Source organism: Homo sapiens, chromosome 18 (genome assembly GCF_000001405.40).
Source record: "Homo sapiens chromosome 18, GRCh38.p14 Primary Assembly".
NCBI classification, from domain to species: Eukaryota; Metazoa; Chordata; class Mammalia; order Primates; family Hominidae; genus Homo; species Homo sapiens.
In genome coordinates this window covers 58,882,554-58,900,452 of record NC_000018.10, presented here as the reverse complement: position 1 = coordinate 58,900,452, position 17,899 = coordinate 58,882,554, and the positions used below count along the sequence as shown (strand labels likewise).

The window sequence follows — 17,899 nt, the reverse complement described above, 5'->3', positions numbered from 1 at the left end:
GGGGAAGCTAGGGAGGAGGGAGAGGAGAATCTCTGGGCTATCAAAGCCGTGGAAGCTCAGGGTTCAGGGCCACAGGGTGAGCATGAGACAGAAACCAGAACAGAGAGCCTGACCTCCATTTCCTCCAGCCCTACAGCCTAAAGCCAAGTTTATCCCCCAGGCAGAAGCATGGACAAGTCTCCTAGGAAAACAAAAGCACCAGTGAAAAGATTCCGGATGCTGACTGCTGCGATCCTCCGATGAGTCCAGCTCCACGAGGAATCACAGAGAAGCCCCTGGAGGACAGGCCGCAGCTGCGCAGACAGACCTCCCGGGCAGCTCTCCACAGCCTCATCCCTAAACAATCACCAGATGCATGGGAAAGCCTCTAGACAAAGAGATCTGAATCAAAACAAAAATCAAAAATAAAGAGGACAGAGATGCTACAAGGAGAGGAAGAAAAGAATATATGTACAATTAGTATCCTCAGAGAAAAATGGACAGGAAGTTATGAAGGAACTTTTGGAAATTATAAATATTAATAACTGAAATAAAAGATAAAATAGGTGAAACAACAGAGTCAAGGAAATCAAGATCTCTCCCCAAGAGTATAACTAGAAAATAAAGACAGACGATAGAAGAGAAAAGGTATGAAAATTAAAAGTTCAATACAGCTGGTCCAACATCTGACTAAAAAGAGTGTTTCAGGCTGGGCACAGTGGCTCACGCCTGTCATCCCAGCATATTGGGAGGCCGAGGCAGGCAGATCATGAAGTCGAGAGATTGAGACCACCCTGGTCAACATGGTGGAACCCTGTCTCTACTAAAAATACAAAAATAAGCTGGGCGTGGTGGCTCGCACCTGTAGTCTCAGCTACTCAGGAGGCTGAGGCAGGAGAATCGCTTGAACCCGGGAGGCAGAGGTTGCAGTGAGTCAAGATCGCGCCACTGCACTCCAGCCTGGGTGACAGAGCAAGACTCCATCTCAAAAAAAATAAATAAATAAATAAAATTAAGTGTTTCAGAAAGAGGAAATGCAGAGAGGACATTATTACAGAAATAATACAGGAACATCTCCCAAGACAAAAGGAGACAATCCAATTGAAAGGGCCTCATTAGGCTGCCAGAAAAATAAAGGATGCCAAGTTAAATCTGAATTTCAGATAAACAAATCATCTTGTAGTGTAAGGATGTTCCACTGTTTATCTGAGCATCTTGTATTTTTTATTTGCTAAGTCTGACAACTCTCTACCTCTGCTGGCCCAATACAAGAGGTGGAAAGAAGTCCACGCTGGAGTGAAATTACAGAGCTCCAAAAAGCGAAGCAGCAGAACCAACAATCACACGGACTCGCTGTGTCCGGACTCTATTTTAAGAGGCTTGCCGCTGTGAACGCATGGATCCCCACAGCAATCTACGCGCACTCAGCACCTGTGCTTCCAGACAAAGGGGGCTCTGCCCCGGCCTGCGTGGTAGACAACCCATTTCTCTCCAGCGCTGAAAGCCAGAGACTATGCTTCTCAGTCTCATGGGAAACTTTTGTTTCATTCCCTTTTAATTTTGGAAACTGGCCAAACAAGGAGGAATTCTGGGAAAGACAGGTCAGTGGGGAAGCAGGGGGCATGTATGTGCAGGTCACAGCCCCTGCCCTGGGGTACCAGAGAAAAAGTGGGTGTCTAGGCAGGACAGGCTCCCTGATTTCCCCAGCACAGATGGTACAGTTTTGGGGAGGTGCTTAGAAGTGCCTGGAAATCAGAGAATCAAGGTGTGAGGGAATACGATAAAATCACCCTAGATGGAGACAGGCTCCTGGGAAGCTTGAGCTGCCAAGACTACACCTGGGATCAGCGGGTCTAGCGCGGCATTCACGCTGGGCTGCCGGGGCAGACTCCGGGGCCTGGCTCAGGGCTGGTCCAAGTGTGAGGCTGTCTGTTAGACTCTGGTCTTCAGGGAGAGTAGGCTGCAAGGACCTGGGTGAACACAGGGGCCAGGCCATAGACAGAGGTAGATTTGAACCCTTTAAATATTTAGGCATATCATATATACCTTGTAAATATTTAAATATACCTTTTAAATATTTAGCCATCTGGTCTCCATTAGTACTCTTGCCCCAGGCCCTACATACATTAAAGGTAGGCCTCGGAGCCATTATGATGATGGTGGTGATTATTCCTATTCTATAAGACAGAGAAGTTTAAGTGTCTTGCTCAAGGACACGTGGCTAGTGAGCAAGAGGATTCTGCCTCCACAGTCCAGGTCTGTCACCTTCTCTCTGACCACACACAGTCAGCAGGTACTATCTCAAATGAACAAGTCCAAGTTTAGCAATGTAAGCACATTATTTAGAAATAACAGAACAAACCAAAAAATTCAAATTCACTGCCTAAGGGAATTATGATGTAAAGTACTATTTTTTTGATCTATGTACATGTATTACTTTGACAAAAAATTTTAAATTGTTGAAAGGAGTTAAGTAATAATCTTTATTCATTTATTTATTTACTTACTTATTTATTTTTGAGACAGAGTCCCACTGCTTTGTCACCCAGGGTGGAGTGCAGTAGCATGGTCTCGGCTCACTGCAACCTCCGCCTCTGAATTCAAGCAATTCTCCTGCCTCAGCCTCCTAAGTAGCTGGGATTACAGGCACCTGCCACTACTCCTGGCTAATTTTCATATTTTTAGTAAAGATGGGGATTCGCCATGTTGGCCAGGCTGGTCTCAAACTCCTGATCTCAGGTGATCTGCCTGCCTCGGGCTCCCTAAGTGCTGGGATTACAGGTGTGAGCCACCGCGCCCAGCCAATCTTAACTTTACATCTCTTCCCTCGATGTAAACAACTTAAAAATTGCTCTGCTCTTCAAGTCTCATTCCTCCAGAACATAAAATATACTCATCATTTTTCCTAATGCCAATCTGTCATGATAACTAATCCTAAGGTTGTTGTTGCATTTAGTGCATTCTCAAAACTGTTTACAGTGAAATACAGCAAATTCTATTATTTGTCAGAAAATGTTCCATAATTGAAAACCCAAAAACAGTCATTTTAGATTGCAAAATCAGGTTTCGTGTATATGTGAAAGTATTATTCAGTGTATTTTTCTTTTTTAGGTCTTTTTCCCCCCAACCTCAATGCATTTAGAAGAACCTTGCTCAGTCCAAGTTAAAAATAAAGGGAAGGCAGCAGGGGGAGCTTTAAGTATTCAACTACTTTATATTCCAAAAAGCTACAAAACTTACAAAATTACGTGCTTAATGCAGAAACAGAGCAACTGTTCAGTCAAACTGACCATATCTAAGAGCACACACATCTAATGAAATGTTCATAACAATCCCCCCCACCCCTGCTAACCAAGACCAGAATCAAAGAGAAATTCCAACCCTAAGAGTATTTTGAGTCTGTTCAAGCCCCGGGGGAAAAAACAGAAAGAGAAGAGAAAAAAGCTTACAACCTAAGACTAGACCCCAGAACAAAACCACAGCCCTTTGAAGAGCGCAGTCCATACAGCCTTTCATGCCTCTACCTCGCTGGGCTGCCTGCTTTCAAATGCATGGTCACATGGGACAGGGATCTTGTCTCCCTACTTATTTTGCCGATTTATCTTCATCTGCTCCATTTGTCAGCCTAGGCTATCTTCCTCCTGTCTAAATCCCCTGAAAACACCTCCCTCTACTGATTAATCCTTCCAATCGATTGGTCTTTTCAATATTTATGTCCGTCATGTGGTGGTGTTGTTTTACTTAATAAATACCTCTACAGAAAGATCTGAGGTGGTTTATAAGAAGAGAAACATAAATAAGGCCCAAATAGGTTACAGAGGGAGAGGAATAAAAAAGCTGTATTGTTATACCTTGATAAACAGATAGCTGAGTGGGCGGATGGACAGACGGATGGGTGGATGAACAGATGGACAGATGCATATGGCTGAAGACATCCCAAGCATGTGCAGCAGCCTCTTTCCCCACCTTCCCAGCCCAGACATGGGTGGTGGCTTGACTGGGTCACAGTAGATTGGCCAGATAAAAACTGCTGCACTTACTTGAAGTGCCTAGAATAGGCAAATTAAGAGACAGGAAGTAGAAGAGAAGTTACCACAAGCAGGAGGAAGGTGAGAAGGGAGAGTTATTTATTTGGTTCAGAGCTTTTTTTGAAGGTGATGGAAAACTTTTACCATGGGTAACATATTTCATCTCACTGAACTGTACACTTATGGTTAAGATGACAAATATTATGTATATTTTACTTAAAAAACAAACAACAACAACAAAAAACAAACACTGCTAGATTTAACAGGGAAGAAAGTTACACTGCACTGAAAAGCAAGGATCTGGCTGGGTGACGCCCATAATTTCAACACTTTGGGAGGCTGAGGTGGGAAGATCGCTTGAGGCCAAGAGTTTAAGACCAGCCTGGGCAACAGAGTGAGACCTCATTTCTATTTTAAAAATTTAAAGTTAGTGAGGTGTGGTGGCATGTACCTGTGGTCTCAGCTACTTGGGAGGCTAAGGTAGGAGGACCGTTTGAGGCCAGGAGCTCAAGGCTGCCAGTGAGCTATGATCATGCCACTGCAGTACAGCCTCGTCGACAGAGTGAGACCATCTCAAAAAAAAAAAAAGAAAGAAAGAAAGAAAGTGAAGATTTGAGAAATGCACTGTATTCTAATGTCTGGCACCCCTTATGACACCTTTAGGGAAATGGGCTGATAAATACCAGCAACAGGCTAGCAACCTTTAGCAACAAGGAGTGTGAGGGGTGGGGAGCCCCGATTTTTAGCCTTTGCCCATTTCTGTGACTTAGATCCTCCCACTGGGATACATTTCAAGCTACTAACAAGATGTCCTGGTGGAGCTGGGAAGAGACACGTACGATATAGACTGGCAGCCAGCCTCAGCCAGCTCCAACAGGCAGGCCCGTCCGTCACTGTCTCCCAGAATGTTTGTAGACATTAGGAACAAAGGAGATCTTAGGGTCAAATGGTTAAACAAAGTTTAAACTGGTTTCTTTGCCACAAGAGTTCCCCAAATCTTTATCCCCAACCCATTTTGAGAGCTTTAATATATTAAAGCACATTTTGAATCGCCAAGAAGGGCTAGAGCATAAAATACTTATCAAATCTATCTGACCTCTGGACTCTCTTTTCCCTAACAGCATCTGGGAGGTGTACGTGCCCTTTTGGGAAATACTGCCTTAAAGACATGCGTCTGTTCCTTTGCAGCCAAACGTGAGACAGAGGCTGCAAGCATCTAGAAGACGACGCAGCTACTGCTCAGTGGAGGGCCACCAATACCATCTGTGACTGGCACCCTGGCAGAAAATTGAAGTTGGGCAAGCCGATTTAGGTCAAACTTTAGCAACAATTTACACAGAAAAGCCCAATTAGAGCCTCTGCCAATGGCTCTGTGCCACAGGGATAAGGGGAAAAGAAGGAGAATGGCTCAGGCACAATTTCTTTTGGCTCTTCCTGTGGGATAGTAACTTTTCTCTGAGTTCCACAATGCTTTTTCTTCTAAACTACAGAGACAAGGCCTATGTTGCCCAGGCTGGTCTTAAACTCCTGGGCTCACATGATCCTCCTGCCTTAGCCTCCCATGTGCTGGGACTACAGGCCACCATGTCCAGCTCCCAAAATGTTCATGTACATTAATCTCTAAATATTCCAAGTAGACAACAACATTAACCTAGAAAATATGCTAAAATATCTAGAAAAATTGACAGGGTAGTTTGTTCGTAAAATGCCAAGTAGTGCCTGAAAATCGAGGATGGCTTCAAGTCTAATGAAAACAAGGTGCATAAAAGGAAGATCAAGACCACACAAAAGGCAAATGATTAATTACTTCCTTAGGGAAGAATAAGGAGGTCAATATTCATAAAGCCTAGCAAATTAATACCCACAACGAGCCATGGTTTACTGGATTTGATTAGTAAGAACATCCTTTTCACTTATTCCATTATTTAAACTCTTCCTAGACCAAGGAAAGTCTATTTTCTTTTTTTTTTTTTTTTTTGAGATGGAGTCTCGCTGTTATCACCCAGGCTGGAGTGCAGTGGTGCAATCTCAGCTCACAGCAACCTCCACCCCTCAGGTTCAAGCGATTCTCCTGCCTCAGCTTACTGAGTAGCTGGGATTGCAGGTGCATACCACCACACCCGGCTAACTTTTTTGTATTTTCAGTAGAGATGGGGTTTCACCATGTTAGCCGGGCTGGTCTCAAACTCCTGACCTCAAGTTATCTGCTCACCTTGGCCTCCCAAAGTGCTAGGATTACAGGCATGAGCCACCACGCCCGGCCGGAAAGTCTACTTTCAATGGCAAGATGAAAATCATATATTTATGCTCCTGTGCATAAATGCTCTGAAGAATGTAAGACAAGTGGCAGGCCACAAAGAAAGGCCACAGCAATCTACCACAAAGTTACTCCAACACGGAAATGATGCCAGACACATCTCTTCCTTCTCCCTGTAGTTTGAGTCTAGAACCAGAAGAACATGGTGGTTCTTCTATCTCACTACCACAGACAGTAAATACAGGACAAGCAAAGAGCCACAATGAGCCCAGTGAGATTCAGGAACCACCCAGCTGATCCACAGTCAGGTAAAAACGAGTCACCATTCTACCCCCATGTAACCACTGCTCTCTCTGGCTTGTACCCACGAGAAGCAAAAGGCAAACCTTTAAATATCAAAATATCAAGCCAACCATTTCACAGGTGACAAGTTAGCTCTTAAGCAGTCCTAACAGATCAATATAATAAGCATGTGGGTCCAAAATTCACATAGCTTCCCAATTATCTCATTTCTTTCTTTTTTTTTTTTTTTGAGACAGAGTCTTGCTTTGTCGCCCAGATTGAAGTGCAGTGACATGATAACGAGTCACTGTGGTCTCAACCTCCCAGGCTCAAGCGATCCTCCCCACCTCAGCCTTCCCAAGAGCTGGGATTACAGGCACGAGCCACCACACCCGGCTAATATTTGGTATTTTGTAGTGACAGGGTTTCGCCACAGCCATGTTGCCCAGGCTGGGCAAGCGATCCACCCATCTCAGCCTCCCAAAGTGCTGGGATTACAGGTGTGAGCCGCCACGCCAGGCACCAGGCAACTAGTTATCTCATTTCTAAAGCAAACTATTAACATAATAATAGCAAGAGATTCATTGATTTCTAAATCAACTCACAGACACTTCTAATTATTCTTTTTTTATTCTTTAAAGTACATAACGCCCTTAATCCCAGCACTTTGGCAGGCCGAGGCAGGCAGATCACCTGAGGTCAGGAGTTCAAGACCAGCCTGGCCAACACATGAAACCCCGCCTCTGCTAAAAATGCAAAAATTAGCTGGGTGCGGTGGCACACGCCTGTAATCCCAGCTACTCGGGAGGCTGAGGCAGAATCGCTTGGTCCTGGGAGGGTGAGGCTGCAGTGAGCTGAAATCGCGCCATTGCACTCCAGCCTGGGTGACAGAGCAAGACTCCATCTCAAAAAAAAAAAAAAAAAGAAAGTACAAATCAGAAATTGCTGAGTTGATAATCTGGAGTAACTGACTTGCTCTCAGTTAATTGACAAGCATTCCTTGGGACTTTCTTTGCAGAGTACTACAGAAACAGCAGTCACAGATCTCATCATTTCACCCACCAGCAGCAGAAAACTGAATTCTCTTGTATGAGTTCTACTGCAGTAATGTTCCCCTCCTGTCTCTGCCACGCCCCCACTTGGGGAACCTTCAGCCAACAGAACCTCTTAGATTCAAAATCTCTACACGAACATTGCTTCTGCATCACAATTGCTCAAACTTGAATGCCAAAGTAGCATCGTTGTGAAGCGCTTTATTTAGACGACAGGCTGCCCTTTGTTCAAATGTACCTCTTTCATTCCTGGAATTTATTATGGGTATTACGTGCTCTTTGCCAATGCTCTAACACCCAGAAGTATAAGCAACAGAAACCAAAGGCCTCTGGGAGGCCTCCTCACCAGAGATCAACTGGTAACATTTGGGATACAGATTTCTAAATGCATACATAAGCATAAATATACATACACATATATAGGCATTTTCACACTCAGTAACATATCCCAGATACCGTTCCAGGTCTACGGGGCTTCCATCAAATCAGACACTCCATGTCAATTCAACAGTGTTTTCAAGAGTACCCTTTAAATTTAGATTGTGATATTCTCCAAAGAGAGTTTAAAGCCAAAGCAAGTAACCACAAGAACAACCTTTCTTCATAAATTCTTACAAAAATAACTCTTAAACAAAAAAGAAAAAACCCTTTGAGACACAGTGTTGTGTTTCACTCTTTTGCTTTAAAATCCTGAAGATATATGTTTAACTCACGATAAAATGAAAGATGAGAGAAATGGAGACATTAAAATAATTTACTCATGCGCTTAAATCATAATTTTTATGTTTAAAATGTCTCCAAGAATACCTTCTGTCACTCTATCCATCAAGATACTATATATTCTTGATTTCACAGTAAACCAGCCTTGCTTATGGGTGAGTGGGGGCTGGTATTTTAGCACTTTTACTTTCATTTTCCTAAAGGATCTTGGCCTGAAGGAAATGTTCTATTCCAAATAATAAACTACTTCCCCCAACTCAAGGTAAATGTGAACCCAGGAGTTTATCCAGCTTTAGGAGGGAGGGCAGACTGGCATAGGCTGGCACTTAGTATCACACCAGGGTGGGAAAGAGGATGGCACGTTCAACAACAAAACGAGGACTGGTCAGAACAGAGAAGGTTAACCAACTTTCTAAGAGATCCTCAGTCAAACTCATTATAAATAAATTCCTATTTTAGGTAAAAAGCTTAAAACACATGCAAGAACACAGACCAACACTAACAGTAAAAAGTCTTTTTAATCACACTTACAAAGCATGATCCATTTTACCTGATTTTTTTAAATGTTCGTAAGTACAAGCGTCCCAGGTTTCATTCATTCATTTTTGAGACAGTTTCTCTGTGTCACCCAGACTGGAGTGCAGTGACATGATCTCGGCTCACTGCAACCTCTGCCTCCTGGGTTCAGGTGATTCTCATGCCTCAGCCACCCAAGTAGCTGGGATGACAGGCATGCGCCATGATGCCCAGCTAATTTTTGTATTTTTAGTAGAGATAGGGTTTCGCCATGTTGGCCAAGCTTGTCTCAAACTCCTGGCCTCAAGTGATCTACCCACCTCAGCCTCCGAAAGTGCTGGGATTACAGGCGTGAGCCACCAGGCCAGGCCTCCAGGTTCCTTTTAAGAGGAAAGAGAGAGGCCGGGCGCAGTGGCTCATGCCTGTGATCCCAGCACTTTGGGAGGCCGAGGCAGGCAGATCACAAGATCAAGGGATCGAGACCATCCTGGCTAACATGGTGAAATCCCGTCTCTACTAAAAATTACAAAAAATTAGCCAGGCATGGTGGCGCACGTGTGTAGTCCTAGCTACTCGGGAGGCTGAGGCAGGAGAATCGCTTGAACCCAGTTAGCCCGATACGGTGGCATGCGTGTAGTTCCTGCTACTCAGGAGGCTGAGGTGGGAGGATCACTTGAACCCGGGAGGTCAAGGCTGCAGTGAGCTATGATAGCATCACTGCACCCCAGCCTGGATGACAGAGGCCCCATATCTAAAAAAATAGTTTAAGAAGGAAAAAAAAAAAGGAAGGAGAGGAACCATTTACCTACCGGGAAGAAGAGGTAAAGAGGTCTGAGGAAGAGGAAGAGGTGGAGTGGGGGAGGAGGAAGAAGAAGCTAGAGGGCAGGATGGAGAAAAAGAAGGGGAGAGGGAACAGACTGGGCATACAGTCATATTACAGTGACTGGTGAGAATACAGGTAGTACTTAATAAGTAATTCACATATCCTTCCTTACTTTTTAAATTTCTCAAAAAAAAAAAAAAATGGGCGGCAGTTAGTGCAAGGACAGAGGGAAAAGAATTCCTGTAACAGAGCAATGCGGGGTCATTGGGATTTTGGCAAGGAGATACCAGGTACAGTTTAAGGTTTAAAAAAAAGAAACCCAGAAGTCATTAAGGAGATAATGATGGAACCACCTTTATATCAAAAAAAGAATAAGGATCAAACTGGAGTCAAAGACACAATAATGGCCCTCTGGGTAGAAGAAGAGCAAATATTTAGATAAACCCAGTTGTAACAGTTAAGTACTAACCAGGGTACTTAATTTTACTTAAGAGTTATATATATACGTGTATATATATATATGTATGTGTGTGTATATATATATAACTCATATATATATATATTTTTCCTCCCCAGGCTGGAGTGCAGTGTCAAAATCTCGGCTCACTGCAACCCCCACCTCCTGAGTTCAAGTGATTCTCCTGCCTCAGCCTCCCAAGTAGCTGGGATTACAAGTGTGTGCCACCATGCCCAGCTAATTTTTTTTTTTCTTTTTTAAACACAGTCTCACCATCTCCTAGGCTGGAGTGCAGTGGCGCGATCTTGGCTTACCACAACCTCCACCTCCCGGGTTCAAACGATTCTCCTGCCTCAGCCTCCTGAGTAGCTGGGACTATACAGGTGCATGCCACCACACCTGGCTAATTTTTTATTTTTAGTAGAGGCAGGGTTTCACCATGTTGGCCAGGTTGGTCTCAAACTCCTGACCTCAGGTGATCCTGCCTTGGCCTCCCAAAGTGCTGGGATTACAGGCGTGAGCCACCGCGCCTAGCCAAATTTTGGGGTTTTTTTGTTTTTTGTTTTGAGATGGAATCACAGTCTGTCACCCAGGCTGGAGTGCAGTGGCGTGACCTCGGCTCACCGCAACCTCCACCCCCTGGGTTCAAGAGAGTCTTCTGCCTCAGCCTCCCGAGTAGCTGGGATAATTTTTGTATTTTTAGTAGAGAGGGGGTTTCACCATATTGGCCAGGCTGGTCTCAAACTCCTGACATCAAGTGATCCGCCTGTCTCAGCCTCCCAAAGTGCTGGGATTACAGGCATGAGCCACCACACCCGGCCAAGAGTTTGTATTTCTTAAACACCCACTCCACTTCTGGAAAAATATCCTTTTAAGTAGAAAGTACAAGTTAATATAAGTGCTGTTTTCTTACTAACTGTATTTTACAGAAAAAGTACAAGTACATGGATATGTGTTATATGGCTCAAGAAAGACAACCTGATAAATTTCAGGTACACCTGGAACAAGCATCCCTCTTTATTTGTGGCAGTTACCTGGAAACAGGAAGTGCCCAGGGAGGGTTTATTCACCTCTATCTAGCTAACTTCAGAGCTTTTTAACTCTATGTGTTAACTACTTAGGCATATATATCTAAAATGCTTGGAAAAGAGAGAGAAAGAAAATCACGGAAAGAGAAAACATGATTTGTAAGAGGTCTGGGGGAGAAGTACACTGAATATTCTAAATCTGAAATGCTCCAAAATCCTAAACTTTTTGAGTGCCAAATTAACACTCAAATGCTCATTTGGAACTTTCAAATTTTGGATTTTTAGATTTGAGATGTTCAACTGGTGAGTATAATGTAAATATTCCAAAATCTGGAACAAAAAAACCTAAATGCTGGTCCCAAGCATTACGGATAAGGGATACTCAGCCTGTATGAATTATATATATATATATATATATAAAATATATATATATAATATATATTATATATATATAAATTATATATATATAAATTATATATATAATTTATATATATAATTTTTTATATATATAAATTATATATATTTTATATATATATAAATTATATATATTAATTTTATATATATATAAAATATATATATATAATTTATATATATATATATATATATATATATAATTTTTTTTTTGCCTTCCTTGGAGACAGAGTTTCGCTCTTGTCGCTCAGGCTGGAGTGCAATGGTGTGATCTTGGCTCACTGCAACCTCCGCCTCCCAGGTTGAAGCGATTCTCCTGCCTCAGCCTCCCAAGTAGCTGGGGTTACAGGCGTGCGTCACCACACCCAGCTAATTTTTTGTATTTTTGTAGAGACAGGGTTTCACCATGTTGGCCAGGCTGCTCTTGACCTCCTGACCTCAGGTGATCCACCCACCTTGGCCTCCCAAAATGTTGGGATTACAGGCGTGAGCCACTGCACCCGGCCATATTTTCATTTCTGAAAAGAAAACTTACAAGAAAAATATCTGATTTTATATTTATAAAATTAGAAAACGTGACATTGTACATTCTAAGTGATTCTTTACTTTCACATGGAGTTAACGGATTTAATATTTGACTGATTTGCAGTTTGCTAAAATCACATGAAAGTTCCAAAATGTTCAATTTTCCTTTATTAATGAACTATCTAAAAGTTTTATACTGTCTGCCTATATAAAATAAAATACTCATGATGATTGTGGTTTATTATTCAACTGAGTAAATTCCTTTAAAATATATCAAGTTTTCATAATTTAGATTAGAGCATAATCCCAGAAAATCCTTAAAGATATGAAGTTCTGCTCCTTCCATTTTCTGAGAACTAGAATAGGAGAGTAGTTAGAAATAATTTATGAACGCAAAGCTCTAATCTAATAAAAAGATGTTTGGGGAGGGCTCCTTTAATTCCGCAGGAAAAGCCATTGGCATATTATTTCTGCTCCCCTCTGCCCCGGGGGACGCAGGGATAAAGCAGCTTTCACAAAGCCCGGCTGCCTCAGTCACTTCCTCAGGAAGTGGCACTGACCGCAGCTCGCCCCGACTCGGTGTGGTCTCCAGCCTTCAGATAGGCCCTAGGATTGGGAAGAGGACACTAACCACAACCAGCAATACTGCCTAGTCCTGCATGACGGTCCCTCCTGTGAGCGTGGGGGTTCTGTTTTGGTTTGTGGTTTTGTGTTAAGCCCAGGTGGAAGATGACAGGTCACACAATGATGCAGCAGACTACCCATTTTCTTTCTTCCCCTCTTCTCCCACCAGACCACCCAACTGACCCCAAACACATGAGAGGCAGAGGGCTGCATCACCCCGGAAATAAATATGCATCGAACAATAACCAAATTAAGCAACTCCAGCCAATTCACATGACCAGTGTTTTCCTTTTCTTGCTCAAAAGTCAAAAACAGAATTGTGCTGACTTGCTGTGAGCGTGAAGGTTCTTGAACAGTGGAATATCTACTTACTGAATATATAAAGCCTCCAAAAATACCTGCCCCATGTTTCTCTTCAGAAAACAAAATGTACATTTAAAGGGCAAGACTGCCCTCAGGTTAGCATTTCAAAACCGTGGTTCTGCACAGAAAAATTCAAACACAGAAGAGTTTACTAAATACCAAACCACTGCAGGAGACCAGAAGGCCTGGGTTCTGCCCAGGGCCCCTCGGGCCCCTACGCAACTGTGTTGCGGAATAAGCCACCTAACAAAGCTATCAGAACTCCATCATCTGCCTGTGTTCCCTCAGGGTGTTCTTCATTTCACCGCCAGAAAAGCCTTAGGAACCAGGTAATTTACCAGAGCTGACCATCCCTGCAGGTATCTGGTAAAGGACAAGTGAAAATGAGCTCTGGGCAGGGCTTGCCCAGGAACCTACTGAGATTACAAGCTAATGAAAGAACATCTCCAACTAAGGAGATTACTACAGGATAGTCTCTCTCTAATAGCATACCCACAACCAATAAATTCTAAAAATCCATATAGAAAAAAACCTACTCTTCCCCTAGTTATTCCTGAAGAAAAATGGGCAAGGCCTCTATGTGCTATATCTGGATGACATGTCATTGATCTCAGGGCATAGAGGCAATGTTTTAAACCACAGAAATAAAATCTCCCAAATTGAGGATCACATGTACAAAAACGTTTGGTGCACAGTTATTTGTAACATAGCAAAGCACTAGAAATCATGTACATATCCATGACAATGGTACATAAACGATTATGTAACAATCATGGTACATCCTTTATTTTTCAGATTGTGGTAAAAATACACATAGCATAAAATTTACCATGGTAACCATATCTAAATGCACAGTTCAACAGTGTTAAGTGCATTCACATCGTTTTTGGCACATTCCTTTTTTATGGAGTACCATGCCCTGATTAAAAGTGAGGTTAGAGTCACTGTAAGTACTGAAGTGGAACAATCAAGATTGAACATTAAGTTAAAAAAAAAAATCAGGTCACAAAACAATACATACACTACCTTAAAATAAAATAAGCATACGTTTTTATATTTAAGCATATAGACACGTAAAATTCCTAGATACATAAAATTGAATGAAAGGACCAGGTGCAGTGGCTCACGCCTGTAATCTCAGCACTTTGGGAGGCCAAGGCAGGAGGATCACTTGAGGCCAGGAGTTCGAGACCAGCCTGGCCAATGTGGTGAAACCCTGTCTCTACTAAAAAAAAATACAAAAATTAGCTGGGCATGGTGGCACACACCTGTAGTCCCAGCTACTCAGGAGGCTGAGGCAGGAGAATTGCTTGAACCTGGGAGGCGGAGGCTGCAGAGAGCTGAGATGGCGCCACTACACACCAGCTGCGATGACAGAACGAGACTCCGTCTCAAAAAAAAATAAAGAAATAAAGTAAAATTCATAGAAAGGCTCAGAAGGATGCCACCACAGATCCTGACCCCCAGCTTTAAAAGGCTATGAAACGGGGTGAGGGAAATTTTGAGCTTTTACTCTCTACTTCCAACTTTTTTTTTTTTTTGAGACATTGTCTCGACCCAGGCTGGAGTACGATGATGCGATTTCGGCTCACTGCAACCTCCGCCTCCCGGGTTCCAGTGATTCTCCTGCCTCAGCCTCCTGAGTAGCTGGGATTACAGGTGCCTGCCACCACACCCAGCTAATTTTTGTGTTTTTGTAGAAACGGAGTTTCACCATGTTGGCCAGGCTGCTCTCAATCTACTGACCTCAAGTAATTCACCCTCCTCGGCCTCCCAAAATGCTGGGATTACAGGCATGAGCCACCATGCCCAGTCCAACTGTATTCTTCTAACACTAAAAAGAATTTTTTCAAAATTCATCCACATAAGTGTAGGTTTGCATTTTCAAAATCTCATTATGTGCACAAAAGGCAGGAGGTGGAAATTTAAATTTCCTACAAACTTTGAAGGTCATAATGTATATCTGTAAATGAAGATAATAATAAATTTCCTACAATCATCAATCCTGGCAATTCTGTCAAAGGTACTTTTGTACAAGCTCTGTTTTCCACTGGCTATACGTTCTTTTAACTAAAAAAAACAAAAACAAAAAAACACCCAGCTGAGCGCTGTGGCTCATGCCTGTAATTCCAGCACTTTGGGAGGCTGAAGCGGGCAGATCACCTGAGGTCGGGAGTTCGAGACCAGCCTGACCAACATGCAGAAACTCCGTCTCTACTAAAAATATAAAAATTAGCCAGGCGTGGTGGCACATGCCTGCAATCCCAGCTACTCGGAAGGCTGAGGCAAGAGAATCGCTTGAACCCAGGAGGCGGAGGCTGCGGTGAGCCGTGATCATGCCACTGAACTCTAACCTAGGTAACAAGAGTGAAACTCCATCTCAAAAAAAAAAGAAAAAAAAAAAAAAACCCTTGTACTGGTAGCTTACTGATTCATCAGTGAGTTTATAGAAATACTGAAACGGTCTAGGCTAAACCTGTCACTTTTAATAAACCTCAGGAAAATCCATGATAACTTTTGCTTGAAACGGGTTATTCAAATAGCTTCACAATGAGAAAACAAGAAAAAATTTATAAATTTCTTTACTGTTTAGATACAAACTGCCTTTTTTTCCCTTAATGAAGCATGTTTGATGAATTTTAATATTTCAAAACTAAGAAGTTACTTATCTGTGTGAATACTAGTAACAAGGGATTCCTGGTTTGGGAGGAAAACTCATACCAACTTTAGAAGCATTCCTTTGGCATTTTGTAAGTACCATGCTTTTTAGTAGCATCTCTAAAAACTGTAGCTTCAAAATATTGATTTCCTACATTAGAAGTGATGTTTTGAGTATAGAAAAAGAATAACTTCAAAGCAATTTTCCTTTGTCACCTGAATAAGCCTTCCACATTTTTGTGCGTTAGGTCCTAAATCCTGCACAGAAGCTTTTGTCCCTGAAATGCTCCGAACTATCAGCAATAGTCGCTGCTTCTTCTCATTTACTTTGTCAATTAAAAAAAATTTTGAGACGGAGTCTCACTTTGTCACCCAGGCTAGAGTACAGTGGTACAATCTTGGCTCACTGCAACCTCCACCTTCCAGGTTCAAGCGCTTCTCCTGCCTCAGCCCTCCAAGTAGCTGGGATTACAGGAGCGCGCCCAGCGCACCCAGCTAATTTTTGTATTTTTTAGTAGAGACAGGGTTTCACCATATTGGCCAGGCTGGTCTTGAACTCCTGACCTCAGGTGATCTGCCTGCCTTGGCCTCCCAAAGTGCTGGGATTACAGGCGTAAGCCACTGTGCCCGGCCAAGTTTTTAAATTTTAAGCACTAAATTTAAAATATTAATATTTGCAAACACTTTTTGAGACTTCCAGCATTAGAAAACATGGAAGAGAAAACTAGTAGCTGAAGGTAACCTACTTCTCTGGGGATTTCACAGGTCCACGAGGCTGACTGGCTTGCTTCCCTCAACAGAGGTCTTTCTTTTGCAATTTTCATCCCCTGAAGTTTTGAAGTATTGTTCTTACTACAAGGCTTCAAGTCAGTGGCTCTCCACTGGGATGACCTATCACCAATTATATTTAGCAATGTCCAGAGACATTTTGGTTGTTCTAACTTGGGGGAGGAGGCATGCTATTGGCATATAGTGGGTAGAGGTCAAGGATGCTGCTAAACATCCTAAGACGCACAGGACAGCCCTCCCCACAACCAAGAATTATCCAGCCCCAAATGCTAACGGTGCTGAGGTTAAAAAACTCTGCTTTATGTGAGCAGGGATGCCTTCCCTATATCACCCTATCCTCCTCCCACCAATACTTAATCCTACTGGAATCATAATAAACCTGCTTGCTTAGGTCATCCATGCCAGAGCCATGTCCTAGTATACAGACAGTAGCAATTCTCTGTTCCAGCCGACCCTGACCCTGGCCCTCTCCCATTAATTGAGGGAGTGGACAAATAGGCTCCCTGCACAGGTATCACAGCTGTTCTCATCCTCCAAAATGATGCCACTGGCTAATCATGAAACAATTCTCACTAGATACCAAATTCACTTAAAACACTTTTGGAATTCTGAAACACAGTCCTTTTATCTAAAAAATATGTCTGAAAGTATCCCCCACAGTGATCACTCACAGAATGCCCACCATCATTGACTTTAAAAATCAATTCATTTAAAAGTTCTCTTCCTGGAGTAAACAGAAAACAGGAAAAAAACACAGAGAAAGAGAATTAATTACATCAGTATATCAATCATTATGTTATATTGAGAAGAGGATGGATGAAACCCTCTGAGTCTTCCTCACAAGGCCCTCTCTCAGTTTTCATTAATTTCATCAAAGACACCAACAGCTTGGAAGAATATTTACCCAGGAATGTTCCTCCTGTTACTAAACTTTCCACCCAAGAAAGGGGAAGAAGGGGTTCTACAGTCTAGGAATTTGAGAAATGTTAGATTAAATACACACACACACAGCCTGATTTCTTTTCTCAAGGCTTCTCAGAACTTTCCAGAGCTAACATGAACCTCCAATGTGAATCTTCAAAGTGGGAATCCAGGGCTTTAGCATTACCCAAGCTTATCTGATGCTGGAATCTTTCAGGATGAGATATCTCTGGGACAAACGTAAAGCTGGGTTTAAGAAATTATTCTCTTTGGAGACTGGGGATGGTGTCTCACACCTCTAATCACAACACTTTAAGAGGTCAAGATGGGAGGATCACTTGAGGCCAGGAGTTTGAGACCAGCCCAAGCAACAAAGCAAGACCCCATCTCTACAAAAAATAAAAATAATAATTAGCCAGGAATGGTGTTGCACACCTGCAGTCTCAGCTACTTGGGAGGTTGAGAC

At 42.6% G+C, this 17,899-nt stretch overlaps 1 protein-coding gene across 53 annotated transcripts in view, besides 3 other annotated features; it reads right to left on the bottom strand.

The window, feature by feature from the left end:
* Nucleotides 1-17,899, bottom strand: part of ZNF532 (zinc finger protein 532) — a 123,557-nt gene that overhangs the window by 86,028 nt on the left and 19,630 nt on the right. For 17 of the 53 annotated variants that reach the window (XM_047437584.1, XM_047437592.1, XM_047437606.1 and 14 more), the window contains one exon: nucleotides 3,831-4,028. The exons of 35 other annotated variants lie outside the window; for them this stretch is intronic. In XM_047437584.1, coding sequence (XP_047293540.1) covers nucleotides 3,831-3,900 — 70 coding nt within the window. In that variant the 5' untranslated portion in view covers nucleotides 3,901-4,028. Of the gene's footprint in view, nucleotides 1-1,817; nucleotides 1,950-3,830; nucleotides 4,029-17,899 lie in introns of those variants that run through there. One more of the 53 variants, XM_047437601.1, reaches the window with a different exon arrangement.
* Nucleotides 7,221-8,047: an enhancer, noted in NCBI's record as "NANOG-H3K4me1 hESC enhancer chr18:56559638-56560464 (GRCh37/hg19 assembly coordinates)". NCBI's record gives its function as "activates a minimal SCP1, AML or CMV promoter by ChIP-STARR-seq in naive H9 embryonic stem cells {active_cell/tissue: H9 hESC(naive)}" and the evidence as "EXISTENCE:reporter gene assay evidence [ECO:0000049][PMID:30033119]".
* Nucleotides 10,136-10,636: an enhancer, noted in NCBI's record as "H3K27ac hESC enhancer chr18:56557049-56557549 (GRCh37/hg19 assembly coordinates)". NCBI's record gives its function as "activates a minimal SCP1, AML or CMV promoter by ChIP-STARR-seq in primed H9 embryonic stem cells {active_cell/tissue: H9 hESC(primed)}" and the evidence as "EXISTENCE:reporter gene assay evidence [ECO:0000049][PMID:30033119]".
* Nucleotides 10,637-11,137: an enhancer, noted in NCBI's record as "H3K27ac hESC enhancer chr18:56556548-56557048 (GRCh37/hg19 assembly coordinates)". NCBI's record gives its function as "activates a minimal SCP1, AML or CMV promoter by ChIP-STARR-seq in primed H9 embryonic stem cells {active_cell/tissue: H9 hESC(primed)}" and the evidence as "EXISTENCE:reporter gene assay evidence [ECO:0000049][PMID:30033119]".